The sequence below is a fragment of the Homo sapiens genome, chromosome 9, assembly GCF_000001405.40.
Source record: "Homo sapiens chromosome 9, GRCh38.p14 Primary Assembly".
Classification (NCBI taxonomy): domain Eukaryota; kingdom Metazoa; phylum Chordata; class Mammalia; order Primates; family Hominidae; genus Homo; species Homo sapiens.
In genome coordinates this window covers 89,737,355-89,759,445 of record NC_000009.12, presented here as the reverse complement: position 1 = coordinate 89,759,445, position 22,091 = coordinate 89,737,355, and the positions used below count along the sequence as shown (strand labels likewise).

The window sequence follows — 22,091 nt, the reverse complement described above, 5'->3', positions numbered from 1 at the left end:
CATCCCAAAGGGTCCTTTGTACTTCTGGGTAACAGGTATGAATATCTTCCAAATGAAATAAAATCCTGTAGATTTGCGATAGCTAATAAATGAATATTTCTAACATTTCTCAGTATTTTCCATTGATTATGAAGCAAAATAGCTTATTTGCAATTATTAACATTTTATTGATTCAAAAAAATGTTTTTGTGCTACTATTGCACTTTATTCTGCCCATATTTTTTATTATCTACCATGCTGGATAAATTACTGATTTTCAGTTAATAAAAACTTCCCTAGACCTTCTGTAAAGCATAAAAGAATCTCTGATTCCTAAATGCTGTCGGTATCAAAGCAGCCAGAACTCATCCTCCCTGGGAGACGTGGTGACGACAGAAGACGCTTCGGTTTCTGCCCTTGCCCTCATGGCCTGATGAGAATTTGCTTCCATTCTTAGTAACCTGTTGGGTCTGCACAACCCATGCCTGCTGCTCTTCCTCATCCCCGCAAGCCTTTCCTCAGATCTGACACAGACTTCCTGAGCTAAACCCTCTCCCAGGAAAGGGCCCTATCTCCTCTTCCCCTTCCCTGGTCATATGGAGACCTGAAGTCCTAGACTTCCAATGAGAGTAGTCCTGACTTGATGCAATATTATTTTTTCACTAAAAATGAGTTTTAGCCGGGCGTGGTGGTGGCTCATTCCTGTAATCCCAGCACTTTGGGAGGCTGAGGTGGGCAGATCACCTGAGTTCGGGAGTTTGAGACCAGCCTGACCAACATGGAGAAACCCCGTCTCTACTAAAAATATAAAATTAGCCGGGCGTGGTGGTGCATGCCTGTAATCTCAGCTACTCGGGAGGCTGAGACAGGAGAATCACTTGAACCTGGGAGGCAGAGATTGCAGTGAGCCAAGATGGCGCCATTGCACTCCAGCCTGGGCAACAAGAGTGAAACTCGGCCTCAGAAAAAAAAAAAAAATGAGTTTTCATCCTATTTTTTGAAAGCTGCACTAGGGACATTGCATATAAGAAAGAGCTCCATTGTGAAAATGTCCTATCACCTCGTAACCTTGGCAAGCCCACACTCCTACAGTCCTTCCTGTGGAAACGCAGGGGACACGGCACAGAGCCCTGGCTGGCTGCTCAGCTCAAGTGTCCCAGCCCAACCCCACCACACAGCAACTCTGCCAGCCACTCCCCAGGAAGCTCTCCAGGTATGACTGTTGCTGTGCAGCACCACTTGGGAGAAAATACCTTACATGTATAACCAAGTGAGAATTAATTTTAGAATTATTTAAGAATGTTTACATTGGAAACAGTTGTCTCTTGACCTAGGAACTGGAAAATGAGGCTGTTGTTGTCAGGGCCCATACCCCTCCATAGGCAGTGTCACCAGCAAGGGTGTGGACGCATCCTGCTCACTAGATCATCAGCCACCTATGGCCGAGAGGCGGGTCTAACCTTCCCCACGTGTGGCCAGGATGATGTCACGTGTCCCTCCAGCCCTGGAGACCACATTTCCCAGCCTCGTGGGTGGCTGGGGTGGGGAGGGGGTCCTGAGAAAGCTCTGGGAAATTGATTGTGAGCAGAAGTGACGCGCATCTTACTCAGGCTTGGCCCTGAAGCCTCCCATGGGATCCTCCATGCTGTTTTTCTCCTCATTCACCTCCTGGATTCACAGAATCCAACTGAGAAACCCAGGGCCCAGGAGGATGGCAGGGCCACGTGATGGAAGGGCCGTGGATCTCTGAGTGATGGTGTAGGGTGCAGCACCCCACCTTGACCTACAGCCAGCCCTCATGGATGGGGATGCCAGAAAGAAAGAGCTTTGGGGCTGCGGGTGGAAGCCGATTCCCTGGACCAATACATCACAGCATCTGCCAAGCCCCTGCCAGGGACTCCAAAAACCTGTGTTGAATGGACAAAATCACCAAGTGAGTAGAACACGAAAAGATTTCCTGACAAAAGAGTTGAGAACGAAATGGCCCTGTGCCCAGATGTGGGTCCATAGGGCAAATGACCCCACTTAAGGTGTCAGGTATCCAGCTCAGTTCCTGAAGCTGGATTGGTGACCAGGGCACCCAGCTGCAGTCCCAGCAGGACCTGCTTCCACTAATCCCAGGCACAAGAGACCTGGGGGACATTCTCAACCTTAAGGAAGCAGTGAAGCGGCCTGGAACCATGTGCCTAGTTCTGTGCTCACTCTACCCCACCCGACCAGGGTGAGACGCACACAGGAAGGCACAGACTGACCTGTGGTCTTGTAAGAGCCAACCATAGGCTCTTTCCTCAGGGAACAGGGCCCAGCGAGGGGGTGGCACTAAGCTTGCTCTAGTTGGCAAAACTCCACCAACCTCCAACACACGCTGTCCTCGCCTCACCTCCAGCCCAGTCAGCATAACCTTTAGACCACAAACTTTGTCAAAGGTTACACACACAGCACACAGGCCTGGCTTGCCAGGGAGGGACAGGCAGCAAGCCAGTGGCTTTTGCCAGCAGTCCCAGCCAAACCTTTGTGACAGGACACTGTAGAAGGTGACTCCTGGGACAGAATAGATAGTGTGGTAAGGGTACAAGTGAATTGATGCATTCAAGGGCTGTTTCGAGTCCTGGGGGTGCAGAGATGGAGAGACTCCCTGAGGAGTTTGCAGCTGAGAGGGAAAACCTCACCAACAGACCACTGCAACTGGCACAAGCGAGCACCGCCAGGCATGCATGTGCCCTGTGACATCAGAGCACAGAGGAAAGAATACGCAAAAGGTGGTCAGGGGAGGCTTCTGGAGAAGGTGTGGTTTGCATTGTGGGTGCCCTGCTAGCCTGACCTTGGGTCTCTGTTTTCCCACAGAGCTGCAGGCCCTACTGCAATGCCGGGCTCTGCCTGAGGATGCTCCCTGCACACTCCACTCAGCCTCTCCGGGTGGGTTCGGGAACTGATTGAGAGCCTGCCTGGGCAACAAAGCTGGTGATGGGAGGCACTGCAGAAGTCAGAGGGTAATCTCCCCAGCTTCTTAGCCTCCAGAGAAGACAACACCAAAGCCAGTTCTGCGCTTGCCCTTGAGGTCTCCAGGGACTGTGCCCCAGTGTCCAGTGGTGACAGCTCATCACATATAGCATGCACGTCCTACACTTGCCAGCACTTCCTGGAATAACTTCAAGAAGAAACCTTTGGAATCAGAGGAAACCCTTGGAGTCAAAGGAAAACCTTGGAATCGAACTTGTTGCAGGAACACAGATGACGGAGGAGGGAACACCCAGAAGAGAGTGAGAGTGTCAGAGGTTGGGGACCCGGCGCACACAGTCCTCGCATATGAAACAGCATCTGGTATATGAGAAACAGCTCAGGGCTTCTCCGCAGCCAGGGCTGTGTGGCTGAGAAGTAGGCAAGGGGCATGTCACAAAGAGGCTGGTGTGCACACTGCCATTTCACCCATGTGTATTACGAAAGCATCCATCCAAAGATGTGTGCAAGGAGGCACATAGCAGCTTTGTTACTCACTATTGCCAGCTGGAAAGCATCCAGGCATCCATCAACAGCGCAGCACTACCTCTGTATGCTGGAACACTCCTCAGCAATTAAAAGGAGCCAACTGCAGATGCATGTAATCGGCCACACAGATGAATCAATAAACCGGAAGCGTGTATACTCTACGATTCCGTTTATACGAATTTCCAGAAAAGGCAAAGCTAAGCTATGTTGACAAAATGCTGCCAGTGTTATCTTTGGGGAGTTGAAGGTGGGGATTGGCTGGGAAGGGGCAGAAGGGAACTTTCTAGGGCAATGGTGATGCCCTATATCTCTATAGAATTTGGATTATGGAAGCGGATGCATTTGCCTAAATACATCAGATTGTTCTGTTAATATATGTTCATGTCTTTGAATGAAAATCTGACCCCTTCCCCCCAAAAAACAACTGCTAACAAATACTGAAATCTAGTCAATAACATTCATGCTAAAGTGTTAGGGTGGCATGTACTGATGTCTGAAACTTCCATGCAATGCATTAAAAAAATGAGATGGACATGGTGATAGGGCAGAGAGATGGAGACATGTGGTAGAGCAAAGATAGTAAAAGGTTAATCATGGGATCCAGTTGTCAGGAGGATGTCCACCTACACTGTGAACACAATTCTTCACTGTACAATTATGTCAGCTTTTCTGCATGTTGTAAAGTGTTTATAATAAAATGTTAACAGAATAAAGGAACTAAGGTGCCATGCCAACATCAAGACTGACACACATTGCAGCAGAGGTATGGGGGCTCCTAAGGGTGGGTGACACCATCACACTGATGTTGAGAAGGGCTAGGGAGGAACCAGGTTGGTGTCATGCAAAATGGTTGTGAACACAACAGTTAGCAAGCTGTCTTGTGCTTCACTGAGGAGGAGCATCAGTGAGATAGGTGTGGCATCTGGAGACTCCCAAAATGCAGGGGTGCCAGGACCCAGGGGCAAGAAGTCAGGGTGACACCTGGTTCCTGGCTTGAGTTGCTCGTGGATGTGGCCTAGATCCTGAGCTTTAGAAGAGACAGCTCTGGGCATCTACAGGACAGGGTGGCCTGCCCCTGGGCCTTCAGCCTCTGTTAGTGACTGTCCACTGGAAGCACTTAAATACTCCGAACTTCAGAACTTAAATACCCAACACTCAGAGCCAAGCATGTGTCTTTTCCCTGACAGTCCCAGGAACGGCCTGGTGAGAAGGAGGTGGGGAGAGGGAGAACTGGTTGCCTGCCTGTTGTACTGAGCTTGCCTTGCCCAGAGCTCCTCTGCAATGCCCTTGCCCTCCCACCAGCAGCACCCACTTTTCCTACACATCAGCTTCAACTGAGGACGCTTGCAAGTCTTATGTCCACCCTCTGTGCTCTTCTTTCCTGTGGGTGGGGATTCCCTGAGGATGGGATGCTGCTCATCCTCAGTTGGGCCTGCATTACTTCAGGGGAGTCAGGCAGGCCACCAGCCATGGCTCATTCCAATGGGAGAACCTGGCCACCTACCCAAAGGTGCACACACTAGCAGGCGGGCAGGCTGGAATCCAAGGCCAGTGTAGGTGGACTCTAGAACTTGGACTTTTTCTGCTACTTCCATGTGATGGCAAGCAGTGGGAGGAAGAGGAAATATACAGCAATTTATTATTTGCAAATGAGAACTTCCCCAGGATACTGAAGCCCAGGACAAGGGTGTGGTTTCAGATGCTCTGGGCATTTTGTCATCTGTGTGATTTTTCCCTTTCACTGGCAAAGGTGAGAATGTGTAAATCAATTATATAATGCAAAAAAGAGTTACCAAGCAAGTATTCACTGGGAGAACAAGACCCATTTAAAAAACAATGGGTTCGCATACTGGCATGATTTTCCAAAGTGGTATATTCAATTCTTTTAAAATAAATGTTTTTCCAGTTCTCCGTATGGAGGGCACCAGCTGCCCACGACCACAGTGACTTCCCAAGTATACTCTGGTGAAATGTCTGCTGGACTCTGCTGTCCCAGTTGACCCACACTGGAGCCTCAGCCCTGGCCAGCTGAACGAATGTGCTGGAAGGAGCCATCAGACTCACCCACAGAACAGCTTGAACCTAGAGACTACATGTAGCAGGGGTTATGGAAATCCCCAGCTTAAACAAAAGAAACTGAACACAGTGACCTACTCCAGGGCCCTGCAGAGGGACCACAGGCTGTGTCTGAAGAAGGATATGCCTGAAAGGACCCTGGATGCCCCCATTCTGCTCAAGAAGACAACATGGCCCAGAGCATGGATGCCTGGCTTCTGAAGCCAGACACTCTGGGTCCAGGTTTCAGTTCCCTGCCCTTACCAGCTCTGTGAGCATACCTCAGTTAACTCATCTGTGTCGTGGGGATAGTAACTGCATTCCCCTGTGTGGTAGTAGAGACCCAGTGGACCCTACACATAAGGTGTCCTGCACGCAGCCTACCCTAGACAGCCCCCAACGCATGCTGGTACCACTGTCGATGTTCCCACAGATGAGAAGCCATAGAGTCACAAAGCCAACAGGAATCCTACCCAAGTCTCTGGGGATATCCAAGCCTACAATTGTTCCAGCTTCATAATTGCCCGGACTGTTCCCATCCACTTTCTCTACTGCCTGTGAAGGAAGTCCCAGGGCAGCTATAAATTTTGGCAGAAAAAAAAAAAACACATCACTAATTATAATCCTAATGGCTTCTCTAAATAAATGAGGGGCTCAACAATCCAGGGGTTGCAACGCAGGTGTCCAAAAGAATGCAACCTTTGATTATCGCAGACGTGATGCTGTGCTGTAGGAGCCAGACTCAAACAAACGCACCCTGCATGTTGCAATGATATACCTTCTAAGATAGATGAAAGTCAGCTATGGTTTCAGAGATAAGGATGGTGACCAGGCTTGGAGGGTGGTTGGCACTCAGAGGGAGCCTCTGGGGGCTGATATTGTCCTTTCTCAGGCTGACAACACATTTGGGTTCACCTTGGGAAAATTCATCATGTTGTTCAATCCTGGTGTGTGCCCTTTTCTATATGGAAGAGATATTTCAATAAAAAGAGTTCCCCTAAAATGCAATGATTCCCGCGTTGTCACCTGGAGAAATATCCAGGAATGATCAGAGAGTAGAAACAGTATTACAAACAACAAGAAAAACATAATTATGCAAAAATTCTGTGGGCCAGTGCTGGAACAGCTATGAGTATCATTTCAAATATCATTTCAAACATCAAGACTGGTCGCAGTGGCTCACGCCTGTAATCCCAGCACTTTGGGAGGCCGCGGCGGGCAGATCATCAGAGGTCAGGAGTTCGAGACCAGCCTGGCCAACATGGTGAAACCCCGTCTCTACTAAAAAATACAAAAATTAGCCAGGCATGGTGGCAGGCACCTTAATCCCAGCTACCTGGGAGGCCAAAAAAAAGTTTTCTTTTATAATAAAAAAAAATTAATTAAAAAAATTTAAAAAAACAAAAACATCAAAGAGCAGTGGGAAATGGTTCTCTGTCACTTTTATTAGGCAGCTTACACACTTCCAAGCTGGCTCCCAATGCCCCTGCCCTGGTCCCAGGCCCCTTCTCTGGGTCACCAGCCCACATATTCCTTCCCCACCCTCACCCCTCTACCCAAAAAGGGGGACACGTGGCCCAGCCCCCTCAGCGCCTAGACTGCCTCCATGCCCATGTGACTGGTGCCCCGCCTTGATGGTGGCAATATTTTTAAAAGAATTTAAAAGATTAAAATCTAGGTTTTGAAAACAAACAAACAATTCACATGAAGCTATTAACTGCGGTTGCCACCAGGGTCAGCCTGGTGGAGATAAGAAGGAATGTTGACTTCTTCAATTAAAAAAAAAAGGAGCGGAGGCGGGTGGATCACCTGACGTTGGGAGTTCACAACTAGCCTGACCAACATAGAGAAACCCTATCTCTACTAAAAATACAAAATTAGCCAGGCATGGTGGTCTACGCCTGTAATCCCAGCTACTCAGGAGGCTGAGGCAGGAGAATCGCTTGAACCCGGGAGGTGGAGGTTGTGGTGAGCCGAGATCATGCCATTGCACTCCAGCCTGGGCAACAGGAGTAAAAACCCCTATCCAAAAAAAAAAAAGAAAGAAAGAGTTGTTTTTTTTAACTTTTATGTTATTTAACTTTTATGTTATTTTTTTTAATTACAGAAGAAATAACTCATTACTTTAAATCGTATATACAGTGTGGATACATTTAAAAACTCAGTGGTAACAGACTAATCAGAGCAACTCTGGAGAAATAGCTGGTTGTCCCGGCTTTTCAGTCAAGGACAAATCTTCTCCCATGGATCCTGGTGGGGCCACTCAGGGCAGAGCTCCAGGCACTGTACAATTTCATAATTGAGTTCATCTTACATTAGTGCAATTCTCTTTGTCTCAAAATGTTATGCGGGTGTTTCGGCATATTTGTTTATGTTTACATGGTCTTTCTCCAACTTGTTTGTAAGTTCCTGAGGCCAGATCCCAGGAGATGCTCTTTCCTAAGGGGTCTCTGCTCTCTTGGATTCTCCCAGCTTGTGACTGCATTTCAGAAGGATCTTTAGTAAGAGTATTGTAAGATTGAAACCCTAGACAAAGCTCTGTCTCTCTATAAAAACTCACAGGAACACTGGGCAGGCTGCTGTTTTTCAGAGACGGCCACAGCTGTGTGTGTATGTCTGGGTATATGTGCATATCTTATACCACATGCTCCCCTCACAATGTGATCAACACTCCTCCCCCTAGGGGGTTTTTGTCCTCACCCTTAAATCTGGGTAGTATATATGCATGAAGAGAGCCTGGCAGCGAGGATGCTGTGGGGTGGCCAAGGTGAGGTCATAAATAGCATGTAGCTTCCTTTGGGCTCTTTGAGGACTCATCCTGGGAACCCAGCCACCATGCTGTGAGAAAGTCCAACTAGCCATCCGGAGAGGAACTGAGGACCCAGTTGACAACCCACAAACCTGTCAAGATGTAAGAATGAATTATCACCAGTCAGATGTCCCAGCTTGGGCCTCAGACATGGTAGAGCAGAGAGGAGCCGTCCCCACCATGCAGTCTCCAAATTCCTGACCCACAGGACCCACTAGTAGTTTCTCACACTAAGTTTCCAGGTAGCTCACCACCAACACAGTTACCGACAGCTCTTGTCACAGAAGGGAGGCAGCAGAGAGACGGCATCCTTGGAAAGATCTGTTTTTGACATTGACAGGCCTGGAACTTCCTCCCCGCACCCCAGCAATTCCTACTGGTGAGCAACATTGTGAAATTCAGGCAAATTTCAGCCAGTAGCTTTGATAATCTCTGGTTTACCCCACTAGTTCCTAAGAGCTGTGCTGAAGTGTGATGGAAATTTGTTGCATCCTCAGTCCTCACAACCACCCCAAGAGCTGAGTACAACTCTCTCTGAAGAGGAGAACAGAGTCCTAGAGAGTCCAGGTGGCTGGTCCGCAATTACCAGCTCCCCTGGCAGAGGCCAGCTTCTGGGACTGCGGCATCAGCATAATCCCTCCTCCCAGAGCCTAGCTGGCTTCTTTAATGACTCTCTGCTGCCAGCTCCCACACACAATCCTATTGTGGCCCAGGGGCCAGGCAGCCCGGCCAGCTGAGAGCGGCAGCTGTTTCCCAGCTGCGGGCAGTAATGAAGTGTTGTACAACCTACATCTCCCCACTCCATAAAGCACATCTGGGGCCCACGCTTCTTTCAGGGACCCCCCCCCCCTCGCTTGACACAGCTGCCTGGGAATTGAGGTCCAGCCACCCTGCCTAAGCAGATGGCCACAAGACGGGTGACGGGAAGGCTCTTTCCCAGAGCTGGTCTGGGTAGGCTCAGTCTTGTGGCTCAGTATCCCATGGGACTCTGGTGCTCAGATGGGGCCATGAGCTGTGCAGGTCACTCTGTACCACACAGCTTTGTCCAGGCCAGGCTCATCTAAGCCCATGTCCTCCTTGTCCTCAGCACACTGGGTTTAGCAGTCCCCTGGGCCAGGGGCAGGATCATGGGGAGGATGCAGGCTTTGAAGCCTGATCACCTGGTTTGGAGTCCTGGATGCCATCCTCACTGTGTGACCTCAGGTTGTGCAACCTCACCGAGCTTCATTTTCCTCTAAAGTGTAGCCAATCTGTTCACCTGTAAGATGGAGCTTCTGGAGCCTGCCCATGGGGCCACCAGAAGATTCAAGGGGACATTTATGTGGATTGCCCAGCACCCTTTCCAGTCTCAGGATGAGCACATGTGTGCCTGTCTGTGGTTGTGTGTGTGTGTGTGTGTGCGTGCATGCCTGTGGTTTTGTGTGTGTGCATGCCTGTGGTTTTGTGTGTGTGCATGCCTGTGGTTTTGTGTGTGTGTGTGCATGCCTGTGGTTTTGTGTGTGTGTGTGCATGCATGTGGTTTTGTGTGTGTGTGTGCATGCCTATGGTTTTGTGTGTGTGTTTGTGTATTTGTGTATGTGTGTCTGTGTTTATGTGTGTGCGTGTGCATGACTGTGGTTTGTGTGTGTGACATGTGTGTGTCAAATGGACCTGGTTTGTGTGTGTGTGCATGCCTGTGGTTTTGTGTGTATGTGTTTGTGTGTTTGTGTGTGTGCGTGACTGTGGTTTTGTGTGTGTGTGTGCATGCCTGTGGTTGTGTGCATGTGTTTGTGTGTGTGTGCACGTGCACACACTGGGAGAGATGTGCTGCTATGGCTCGGTGCCAGTCATGAGTGTGGGCCTCTGCAAGGCAGGGGTCCCCAGGTCCTGCTGCCCCATGCTGGGCCCCAGGTCACCCATTGCTCCTTCCTACCCAGCCTCAGGAAAACCATCAGCCACATAGTTGGGCAGGGACTTTTAATGACTCCCTGTTTGAAGGAGCTTTCCAGAGTCCCTCCTGACCTCCCCAGTGGCTAGGGGCCAAGTGACCAGAGCTCCCAGTGACAAGGCGTAGGCCTAGCCCATGTGGCCATAAGCCTCTGACTCTCTAGGGACCAAGGGGCTCTCCAGGGGATAGTGTCAACGCCAGACTTGACTGTGAAGGTTTTCTTGGAGGCTGGGGCAGAGGAACAACCCTGGCATCTGAAGTTTGAGACGTGCCTCTCTGAGTTTCCTGCAGCTGAAATTGCCATCTGTTCTCTGCTCAAGCCAATGGGGGAGGCCTGGGGAGATGGCACCATACATCCCAGAACTGTAGGTCATTTCCTTTCTAGAGGGCACCTCTCAGCCGTAGCACAGGTTTGCAGAGTGAGCAGTAAGGAATGGCTCTCTGTCACTTTAATTAGGCAGTCTTTGAGACTTTTTATTTCCTTCCTGTAGTTTCCTTTTCCTTCTTGCAGCTTTTTAAATGCCCACTTTTCTTTTAAAACAGGATCTCTGAGCCCTGGAAACTGTAGAGATGGTTCTGAGTGTCAACAACACCTGGGAGGTGGCACAACATCATTTGCACATGTGTAAATGTGCATGTGTGCAGTTTGTGTGTGCATGTGCATGTGTCCACGTGTGTACATGTGTGTGCATATGTGTGCGTGTGTGCACACATGTGCATAAACACATGTGTGTGCCTGTGTGTGGTTTTCTTGTATGTGTACACACAAGCATATGTATATGTCCTGTGTTAATGGCATGCATTTGTACATTTGTGCATGTGTGCACATGTGCCCAGTGGTTGCACATGTATGAACATGTGTAATTGTTCATTCATGCATGTATGCGTGTGTATGTGTTTACAGTTGGGCATGTGTTTATGTTTGCACACCCACGTGCATCTCCTGGGAACAGAGCCCACAGCTTTCGTCACTTTCTCAAAGGAGTCATGACCTTAGAGAAGGTTCTGCCCACTCTTCAAGAGTTGTTTACCTCAGTTGATTATCTGTCTGTTCATCTTTTTACTTTTCCATGGGAAACAGGCAGCCCTGTGCCTTCAACAAAAATGACGCCATTCAACTCCCTTCTTCCCCTCCAGACCCTTCCAAGACCCTTCTGGCCTTTGTCCTGGTTTAGCAGAGTCCCGGATTCCAAGGTGGCCAGCAGAAGCAGGTCAGCTGCTTCCGCCACCAACGCCTATCCGGAAAGCAACAAGCAGTGCCCTGAAGGCTGCCCCAGAAACCAGCTGGGGGCCCCCGCATCCCTGCTGTCTTCAGGACGATTCCACACAATGCTTCGGAGGCAGCCATCCTTCTGTCCCATGTTGCCATGGCTGCTGAGGAGGCCATGCCGGCACGTCTCCAGCCCTGGCCCCTGGGGTCTCAGCTCTGCACAGAACACTCTCCACAGACGTGTGGAGAAAGGCTCCACAGAAGCCAGCAGCAAATGGCCGGGACAGCAAAGACACACCCAGTGTTTCTGGCCATGGTAGCAAACTGCGTTCTCAAACTATCTGTAGCGAAGGACTGGGAACTTTTTGTCGGTCTAGCCAATTCATTGCCAATGGACACTTTTGCGAGATATATTTGCTGAAATGAATTGCTAGAAAAATGACCATGAGCTTGGATGTTGCTTCTATAACCTAGTGCTGTAAAAGTGTCTGCTCACTCTCAATTTCTGTGCTTACCTCTCCATGGCCCAGTAACAGTGGGCAGCCCTGCACCCACCCACACGCCAGGCTTTGTGGAGTCCTGGTGTGAAACTCATGTGCCTCCCCAATCCTGGGACTGGTGGAGTTGGGGTATTCATACTCCACTCTGAGAAGGATCAGTTGAAGAATTCCTGAGTTAACTCCTGGCACTTCTGCCTGTTGTGGGCTCAAACTAAGCAAGTGTGATGGTGAATTTTGTCAACTCGCCTGGCTAAGGAATGTCCATATAGCTGGTAAAACAGTATTTCTAGGTGTGTCTGTTTGAAAATTTCCAGAAGAGATTAGCATGTGAATCAGTAGACTGACTAAAGAAGTGGACCAATGCAGGTGGGCACCATCTAGTCCATGGAGGGCCAAGACAGAACAAAAAGCAGAGTACACTTAATGTGCTCTCTCTGCTTAAGCTGGGATATGCATCTTCTCCTGCCCTTGGACGCCGGCACTGCCGGTTCTCAGGCTTGCAAACTTAGACTGGAATTACATCATCAGCTGGCCTGGGTCTCTGGCTTGCAGATGGCAGATTGTGAGACTTCTCAGCCTCTATAATCACATAAGCCAATTCCCATGAGAAATCTCTGTATGTACGCACACACGGACATCAGATGGCCAAGGCCCACAGCGGGGGAGCAGGGCCCTGCCCAGTATCTGAGCCAGCAATGAGCCCTCCTAGGACAGGCTTCGGGGAGGGATTGCTCTGGTGTTTTGGTGGAGAAACGGTTTGTTGGTGGGAATTCCAGGAGTCAGCACATGCAGAGACCTGGAGGTACAAAAGGTCAAATCGTGTTAGGAAAGGCCAGGGCCCCAACACTGGTGCATCTCATGTGCGGTGCAGAGAAGGATTCTGGAGGTCCAGCGGGCAGCACAGCAGCCACTTGGGCTTGGAGTGAGTGGACAGTCTGTTCTCCGCTCCCTCCAGCAGCAGGAGAGGCGCGTGCGGTCAGCCCCTGCCTGTCAGCTCTCTGCTGAAAACTGGGAAAGCAGGTGATACCAAATCCACAATCCTGCCCTCTGAAGGGTCCCAGCCTCCCTCAGTTCTTGGATGAGGGGCCTGAGGCTGGCTGGCAAAACCCTGCCTTGCCTTCTCCCAGAGCTGCCTTTCCCAGTGCCTGTGGCATCCACAACCCCTTCCCAAGCAAACCACCAAGAAAACAATAAAATCACATTGGCATTGGAAGTGGGCCAGACATCTGATTGCACGGGTGGCACCCCCTCCCACTTGTAGCTCCAGATTCTCTATCTGTCAGGCCAGACCTGGGGAGGGCTGGCAGCTGGGCTGACCATGGTGGACAGCTAGCCCTCCTCATGCAGCACCGAGACCAGGCCCTGCATCCCTTTAGCACTGAGTCTCTCTGATCAGGCCCTGGGACTTCTTTGAGGCGATTGCCAAGCCTGCAGACAGGCATTGGTTCTCCATCCTTGGGAGCCAGGATGCTCCTCTGGCTGTGGCCTCCAGGCAGCGTGTCCCTTGCTCCATGATGGAGCCATCTCTTTGGGTGCATGCCGCCCTCCCATTCTCTCCTCTCTATCATCCAGAGAAGTCTCACTGCCACCCTCCCCTGCTCTCATGGTGAAGCACCACGAGGACCAGACAAATCCTAGAGCTATGTCCTTGGCCCAGGGCCACACAGCCCATTGGCTTGGCAGGGCCAAGGCTGGGGCCTCATCCGTGTTGAGAACAGCTGTTTCTCCATCCCAGCTGAAAGAGCCCAGGCTGACATTCACGTCACAGTTGAATGAAGCCTAGAGTGACTCTCCCCAGCAGCAACTTTCCATCAGTGCAGCCGGCTCCACCCAGGCCCCCCACAATCCTCACACCTAGATCAGGAGCAATTTCTGCAGGAGTTGTGGGCATGAGGCAGAGGGTGCCCAGAGCCCCCGTGTCCCCCAGGGGAGTGGACTGGTGTGAGACAGTCCTCACCTCCTCCCTAAGCACTTTCTCTGCAGGCAGCACATTAAACTACCATGATGGCACCCTCACTACTAAGATAAGGAAACTGAGGCTGAGCGTGTCTGTGGCCTACCACACTTCATTAACTTCCCGGGGTTCTGACACCAGGACTCAGGTTTCCTGATTTGCATTTAAGTTGTCTATCCACAACTCAAGGGTCTATTTTGAGGAATAAAAATAAAACAAATATAAATGTTTTCCTCATGGGATAAGCACACATGTCAATGTGGTGTCTGGCCCTCCCCCACTGAGAGTGGGGTCTATGGGCTTTCCCTGGAATCTGGGATGGCCTGCTGCTTCCACCAAGGGCATATGATAAAAGCAATCCTTGGGGATTGGCCAAGGTAGAAAGGTAGAAGCTGGGCTTTTATGCGGCATCCTAGGGGCCACACAGCTTCTAACTTTTCCACCAACACCCATTCTGAAGTGCTGGGCCTCCATAGAGGAAGTCTGCCCTGAGGCCACCATGCTGTAAGGAAGCTCAAGCCACACAGAAGTGCTCCAGGCAGCTGCCCAGCTAAGCCTAGCCTTGCAGAGCTTCCAGCCCAGCCCTGAGCCCGCAGATAGAACACACCCAGGTGTTTGCATGCCCCAGCTATGGAGTCACCCCTCTGGGTGAGCTTTCCAGCAGCCCTGCCTGAACACCTGACTCACAGAACACATGAGCCCAGGGAAATAGGCATTGCTTTATGCCGTGAAGCATGGGCTAGGTAGTGACACTGGAACAGTGGATCCATCTGCAACAGGAAGATCCAGGCCTGCATTTCTCCAGCAGGCATGATCCACCATCACACACACTCTCAGCAGCCAGGCCTAAGCTGAGGTATGTAAGGGACTGCCCTGGGTGATGACTGAGGAGTGAGGGGATGATTCCAAACCCACCCCCTTCCTGCAAGGAGGCTAGAGTCGAGAAGATGGAAATAAATTGATAAATCACCTGTCACCCCACCAGAGCCCCCAACCATGAAACTCTGGAATGAGACACATAGGTGGTGATCCTCACATGCCCAGGACCGGGCTGGCCACGGTCAGTGAACTTAGCCCCCGGCCAGCCCATACCCTGGCCCCACCCCATGGTGGATGCCCAGAGCCTAGAGCTGGAGTCAAAGACACCATAAAAGCAGAGCCGGCGGCATTCCCGGGACAGTAGGGCTGTCTGTGGTGAGTCCCACAAATCGTGGTCCCCCTGAGGCTCTTAGACCACAGCAGACATAGAAGCCCTGCCAGGCAACTCTCTCCAAGGACACCAAAATTATTCTGTCACTCCTGGAGCTGCTGTAAACATTGTGAACCAGGCGAGAACCTCTTTGAAGTTCAAACCTTGCCTACCCACAGAAAGGGACTCTCCAGCCAGGCAGCTCTTCACAGGGCAATTAAGATGTTGTCTCCAGGTATCTGGGCAATTTGCAGGGTTCGCTGTGGCTTTTCCTGGCAGTCAGCTCTCTGGCTCCTGCCAGAAGGCTAGGTACAGACGGGCAGTAGCCAGGAGGCCCAGGGCAGGGGCTGCAGCCAGGGAAGTCTGGGACCCCTGGGGGCAGCAGGGCCAGTTTGGAGGCTGCAGACGCTCCCTCCCGCCACAGGGCTGTCTCAGGCCAGCCAGAGCACACCTGAGCTCTGTGCTTTGATGTCCTGTCTTTGCAGACAGCTTTCTTAGCTCTCACTGAAACTGTTAGAAGTGATTCTTAGCATGCCTTTTATCAGAGACCAGAAGAAGGAGTTGAAAGTGGGACTCTGGGGTTTTCAAAAGAATCTGCAAGACTGGGGAGGGGAAGAAAAACCGCCTCAAGCCCTGAAAGGAAGCAAACAAAGGTCTATAGTCTCCCCGAGCCTGGAGGCCACGGTCCCAGGCCTGTGATGTGTGTAAGGGGAGGGGTGTGCTCAGAAAAGCTGCTGGGTTCACAGCTTAGGGTTTGGGTTGTGGTTTCACTTGGATCCTGTTAGAAATCTAATTATAAAAACCAAAGGGGCAGGTTCTCAAATCCCAGGCAATGGGGCACCCACCACCCTAAGCCAGCTCTTCTGCCTGGGACCTCCCAGAGTGTGCCACCTCCTGGGCTCTGCAGGTGAGGTGGGGAGGGCTCCAGATGAACAAAAATGCAAAATGAGAGCAGACAGCTGCAGTGATAGCAACCCACAGCTGGGACTGAGTCCCACCAAGCAAGCAGAGGCCTGGACTCCCTGAGGCCACAACGACCCGGCCGCGGTTTCTCAGGCAGAAGCTGCTGCCACAACCCTTGTAGGCCCAGCTGTTTTCACGGTGCTATTTGCCATAAAGGATGTCTTTCTTCTGGTTTGGTAAGAGAGAGACCTTCTCAGCAGCCATCAGGATCACAGCAAAGCCCCTGGTCACCAGGCAAGCCAGGCTCCCAAGGCCAAAGACATGTGAGGATGATGTGATACCTGGCCAGGAATGAGGTATCCCAGGCCAGGTGCCTGCAGGTGTTGGGTAGATGAGGGAGACTGCACCCCACCCTCAGGAGCCACCACCCACGGCGCTGATGGACATGCTGGCCAGCAGCCTAGCTGGTTTTTATTGTAGTAAAATATGCACAACATAAAATTTACTGTCTTAATTCGTTGTTCAGCGTACAGTTCAGTGGCATTAAGAACATTCACACTGTTGTGCAACCATCACCACCCTCCATCTTCAAAACGTTTGCATCTTGCAAAACTGAAACTATCCCCATTAGACAACTCCCCAGCCCCCAACCCCAGCCCCTGGCAACCACCATCCTACTTTCTGCTTCTACGAATTTGATTGTAGCTGGGACACTAGCTACCTCAAATAAGTGGAATCATACAGTTTTTATCCTTTAGGTATCTGACTAAAGGTAAAGGTATTTTTAAAGACATTTCAAGGCTGGGTGCAATGGCTCATGCCTGTAATCCCAGCATTTTGGGAGGCCGAGGCGGGCAGATCACCTGAGTTCAGGAGTTTGAGACCAGCCTGGCCAACATGGTGATACCTCATCTCTACTAAAAATAGAAAAATTAGCTGGGTGTGGTGGCACGCACTTGTAGTCCCAGCTACTCGGGAGGCTGAGGCTGGAGAATCGCTTGAATCTGGGAGGCAGAAGTTGCAGTGAGCCGAGATCTCACCACTGCACTCCAGCCTTGTAGAGCAATTCTCCATCTCAAATAAATAAATAAATAAATATAAAAATAAAAATAATGACATCTCAATTGAATTGATAGAGTCATTTTACCTCTTTTGTCCTTTTTCAATTAATAAATAATAAAAATAACTATTTCAGTGTACTGTTCTATGAGCTTTAAGACATGTATAGATTGTGTAACCACCACTGCAACTGGGATACAGAGATGTTCTATCCCCCAAGAAAACTCCCTGTACCTCCCCTTTATATTCACAACCTCCCCCACCCCAACCGCTTACAACTACCAATCTACTCTTTCTCCCTAGGTCACCTTTTCAGGAATGTCATATACATGGATGTGTAGCCTTTTGAGATTGCCTTCTTTCACCCTAATGCCTTGGAGGCTCATTCAAGTTGTCGCAGGGATCAATAGTTTGTTCTTTCTTACCCCTCAGTTGTGTTTCACGGTATGTCGGAGCATTTGGGGGCCTGGCTTGCTTCACTTAACATAACATCCTTAAGATTCATCCGTGGCCAGGCGCGGTGGCTCAAGCCTGTAATCCCAGCACTTTGGGAGGCCGAGGCGGGCGGATCACGAGGTCAGGAGATCGAGACCATCTTGGCTAACACGGTGAAACCCCGTCTCTACTAAAAATACAAAAAATTAGCCGGGCGCGGTGGCGGGCGCCTGTAATCCCAGCTACTCGGGAGGCTGAGGCAGGAGAATGGCATGAACCCGGGAGGCGGAGCTTACAGTGAGCCGAGACAGCACCACTGCAGTCCAGCCTGGGAGAAAGAGCGAAACTCCGTCTCTAAAAAAAAAAGAGAAAAAAAAAAAAAAGATTCATCCGTGTTGTGGCCAGGCACCTTGGCTCACGCCTGTAATCTCAGCACTTTGGGAGGCTGAGGCGGGTGTACCACAACATCAGGAGATCGAGACCATCTTGGCTAACATGTTGAAACCCCGTCTCTACTAAAAATACAAAAAATTAGCCGGGCGCAGTGGCATGCACCTGTAATCCCAGCTGCTCAGGAAGCTGAGGCAGGAGAATCGCTTGAACCCAGGAGGCGGAGGTTGCAGTGAGCCGAGATAGCACCACTGCACTCTAGCCTGGCAAAAGAGCAAGACTCCATCACACACACACACACACACAAAAAAAAAATTTCATCCATGTTGTAGCATGGGGCAGAACTTCATTACTTCTTACGGCTGAATTACACTCCATGTATGTTGTTTTAAAATGTGCTGGGGATTTGTTTCAATCAGGTGTAGTAAGAAATTCAGACACAGAAAAGACTGTTAGGAAGGAGAAAGTTAATATTCACAGACTCTGGACACAGGAGGCAGGGCACGCCACACCCCGGGCCACACAAGGAAGCACCAGGGTGGGTCAGGGGGCAGGGGTGGGGACGGGGGCAGGGGGTGCAGACGTGGGCAGGAGCCTTTATTGGGGTTTCCGCAGGAAGGAACAAGCGAGGCAGGGTAAGCAGGCTTAGGGTTGGCTAGTTTGCATGATTTCAGCAGGCTCTAGGGTGCAGGGGCTGTCCCTAGGTGTCTCGTACGTGCCCTGGGCTGATGAGTGCAGGGAGATAGTGCCCTGGACTGTGAGAGCCCCATAGAGGAGGTAGTTGGGGTGGCTTGGGACTGGCTGGTTTGCTTATGAAAGGGATGTTTGCAGGGGAACTTCACTGGAAATCAGCTGGTCCCTGGAACGAGCAGCCCCTCCAGGGTCAGCAAGGTCCCAGATGTCACAGCATCAGGAAATAGTAAAAATTAAAAACCTAATTAATACATATGTATAGACCACATGTTGTTTATCTACTCATCCATCGATTGCCTCCTGGGCTGTTTCTAACTTTTGGCTATTGCAAATAACGCTGCTAGCAACATCGACATAGCAGTGTCTGTCCAAGCCCCAAGCAGCCTAGATATATTTAAAGTGCAGTTAGGAACTTTTTTTTCCCCAGAAAATGAGGAAGGAGGTAGCAACAAAATCAAGGGTTGAAATACAAAATAGTCTTAACTCACAGAAGATGTTTGGGGCTAAGTTCTCACCCCCAGCTCCATTTTTTCCATCATTCTTGGCCGAAAGAATCAGAAACCCTGTTTCTAGACTGATAGCCACCACCCAGCCATGGCTCCTTTCCTGAAGCAGAAAATGACCCGGGTCTAGCAGCGTGGCTCTGATTACAGACAGGGAGTGAGCCATATCAGGTGCACTGAGAGCCCTTTGCCAACACAAAAAGCTACTCGCAAGCCCAAAATACTGAGGCACAGTGACCTCTGAGGCCGGGTCCCCTTTGCCACTCCACCACTGAGCCCCTGCCTGTCTGACCACCAGGGCCAGCACGTGGATCCCTGTCTCCAAGGTGAGGACAGCACCCCCGTGGCCCTTCTGGCCTTGTTGGAGATATTAATGATGCAGTATCATCAGAAGTCCGAGAAATAAGGACATAGATAACGACTAGGTCTTTCAAGGAAAGAAAATACTGGTCATTACTAGAACCCTTGATGACCAGTTTTTCAGATTTTTTCATTGTACTCTTTCTTGGGTTATTTTCAAAAACAGTCAACCCATGCACAACAATGCATGTGATAACCATCTTCTAGCATTAAGGAGGAAAGGCACCTCTGACTCAAAATCAGCCCAAAGATCACTAAACCCTGCAGTTGCTGAGGTCAGCTGGAAGCTCTTCCTCCTCTAAGCCCCAGCTTCTCCTCGCTCAGACGCTAACCATGACTCTTGTGAATTTCTCAAGCGGCTTGGAGAAAATGAGAGAAAGAAAGGATGTGGGTGCCACTTTGGAGATGATCAAGGAAAACTGAAAGACGAGTTAAATGCTTGGACAGTGCCCTCCAGCCTAAGGGAAGCTCTCCTGCAAGTGGCCACTGTGGCTGGAAGTCCATGGAGCCATTTGGCTTCCACTTCCTCTCTGGTTTTTCTGCATCCCTCATTAAACTTGGACTGTTTTGTTTTGTGTTGTTTTGTTTTTGTTTTTGTTTTTGTTTTGCCCCTTCCCAGGGCTTGCCAGCAAGAACAGCAAAAAGAGAAAGGACAGTCTCAAATTCAGAGAAATTAAGCTAATTTGAGGAACATGGGTCTTGATAGTGTTCTCATTTATATTTCCAACTCATTGGTTTCAATCACTGTAATACTTGACATCATGGAGCCAAACAGAAACATTCCTCGTTCATTCACTGGGCAAGTATGTATTGAGCATCTACAAGGAGCCACACTACTCTAGGTGGTAAGGATTCATCAGTGAGCAAGACAGAAAGGCTCCTGCTCTTCCTGAGCTTATCTACGGGGAAACAGGAGTGCACTGAATGATGGAGTTTCAGGGAGGACTGTGAACTTCAAAGAATGATAAAGCAGGAGCCAGGTATGTGAAGTGGAGGCAGGACCTCCGTGAGACCCTGCAGCTCAGGCATAGGATGCTCCCCACTGAGGGAACCTCAAAAGGAGGCCCAAGTAGGGGAGCTGTCTGACAGAGTTCATCTAGGGCAGCCTCTGAGGCACAGAGCAAGGTGAGAGCAGGGAAGAGTGTCCTGGAAGGACATCGGCAAGATCCCCAGCAGGGCATGTGACAAGGTCTCCAAGAGAGGGAGCCATAATCAGAGCTAGGCCAGGCTGAGGCTGCAGAGACAGTGCCGGGAAAGCTGCTCCCCAGAAGCTGGCGTGTCCCTTTCAAGGGCTTCGTCTGACACCAGTCCCATCCTTGCTGCTCTCGGTGACGCATGCACACACACATTCTGCTGCCTGCTGGACACGACTGGAAGGGTCCAAGCTGGGAAAGCCACAAATGAGAGATCAAGTTAGAAGACAAAATGGATGGATTAAAGTGTGAACAAGGCCAAACCCTCCCTCCCAGCCATGCAAACTCCACTTGGTTTTACCTCAAGGAGAAGCGTTTTGAAATGACATGCAGATAGAGAGGGGTGTGTGTTCATAAGGAGATCTGTAACTTTAAATGCAAAGCAACATTTAAAAACATGTAGTAGGTTATCTTTTTCTCATGCAAAGTTCAAGTTGACAAAGACCTTTGGGGATGGAACAGTTGCATAAGCACGGGATTAGCTGTACTTGATGATAAATAAATGAATGACAACGAGTGAGGCAAGCCTAGTATATACCGAGCAGCTACCAGCACCCCTATGTTTAAGACTTAGCTGAAACCCAGCTTTTGGGTTTTATTTGAGCCTTCCTTGATTTTCTGTCACTCCCACTACACACCTGGGTCTTCTGCCACCCATGGTCCATGAGTCTTCTGGCCTACCCTCGGGGGCACCTTGGCATTCCAATCTTCTGTTTCCATGCCTGGCTTCCCCATACAGCTCAGCTCCCCTGGGTCTTCGTCATAGCCTGGACCTAGCTTGGAACAAGCAGCACATAATAGCTCAATAAATATTTGCTGAATAAGTGAATAGGTGGCAGCCTTCACCAGTGCTCTCTGGGTTAATGCTCACAGCCACCCTGACTGTGGGCATCGTTATTGTTTCCACATTTACAGATGAGTAAATGGTGACCCAGGGAGGTCGGATCACTTCCCCTGGGCCAAACATCTGGCTAGTGACAAAAATAAGATTTAAACCTCAGTGAGACCAAATCCAGAGTCTACGCCTTTGGCTCAGTCTATGCCTTTGCCTCCTGTTCCTCTGAGAAAAACCTTGACTGAGTCTTAGAAGATTCAGAAAGATCCAGAGAGAGCCCGGGAAGCCAGTTGCTCTCATTGTTCGGTGCTAATGAAGGCTCTTTCCTTTTAGAAGTGGCCAAGAGTAACAATGTTAGGGCCAAAGTTTTTATTCAATGGATAATCAGTGAGACCTGAGTTTTATTCCATCCCTATCACTCACATCTTTGTGTCTCTGAGCAAGTAAATCACTTCATTTTTCGGGTACTCCTTTTCCTTCATTCAGTCATTCAACAAACACTTACCAAGTGCCCATGATGCACCAAGTAATGCATTGGGTGCCAGAGATGCAAAGATAAACATCCCTGGCTGCCTGTCTTCAGAAAGCTCACTAGCTAGCTAGGAGACAGG

At 50.0% G+C, this 22,091-nt stretch overlaps 6 annotated features.

Annotated features, from left to right (window-relative positions):
• Window positions 1,081–1,580: an enhancer, noted in NCBI's record as "H3K4me1 hESC enhancer chr9:92459313-92459812 (GRCh37/hg19 assembly coordinates)". NCBI's record gives its function as "activates a minimal SCP1, AML or CMV promoter by ChIP-STARR-seq in naive H9 embryonic stem cells {active_cell/tissue: H9 hESC(naive)}" and the evidence as "EXISTENCE:reporter gene assay evidence [ECO:0000049][PMID:30033119]".
• Window positions 1,581–2,082: an enhancer, noted in NCBI's record as "H3K4me1 hESC enhancer chr9:92458811-92459312 (GRCh37/hg19 assembly coordinates)". NCBI's record gives its function as "activates a minimal SCP1, AML or CMV promoter by ChIP-STARR-seq in naive H9 embryonic stem cells {active_cell/tissue: H9 hESC(naive)}" and the evidence as "EXISTENCE:reporter gene assay evidence [ECO:0000049][PMID:30033119]".
• Window positions 10,196–10,707: an enhancer, noted in NCBI's record as "H3K4me1 hESC enhancer chr9:92450186-92450697 (GRCh37/hg19 assembly coordinates)". NCBI's record gives its function as "activates a minimal SCP1, AML or CMV promoter by ChIP-STARR-seq in primed H9 embryonic stem cells {active_cell/tissue: H9 hESC(primed)}" and the evidence as "EXISTENCE:reporter gene assay evidence [ECO:0000049][PMID:30033119]".
• Window positions 15,594–15,653: an enhancer, noted in NCBI's record as "active region_28557". NCBI's record gives its function as "activates an Ori minimal core promoter by ATAC-STARR-seq in GM12878 lymphoblastoid cells {active_cell/tissue: GM12878}" and the evidence as "EXISTENCE:reporter gene assay evidence [ECO:0000049][PMID:35858748]".
• Window positions 16,254–16,303: an enhancer, noted in NCBI's record as "active region_28556". NCBI's record gives its function as "activates an Ori minimal core promoter by ATAC-STARR-seq in GM12878 lymphoblastoid cells {active_cell/tissue: GM12878}" and the evidence as "EXISTENCE:reporter gene assay evidence [ECO:0000049][PMID:35858748]".
• Window positions 18,398–18,447: a silencer, noted in NCBI's record as "silent region_20018". NCBI's record gives its function as "represses an Ori minimal core promoter by ATAC-STARR-seq in GM12878 lymphoblastoid cells {active_cell/tissue: GM12878}" and the evidence as "EXISTENCE:reporter gene assay evidence [ECO:0000049][PMID:35858748]".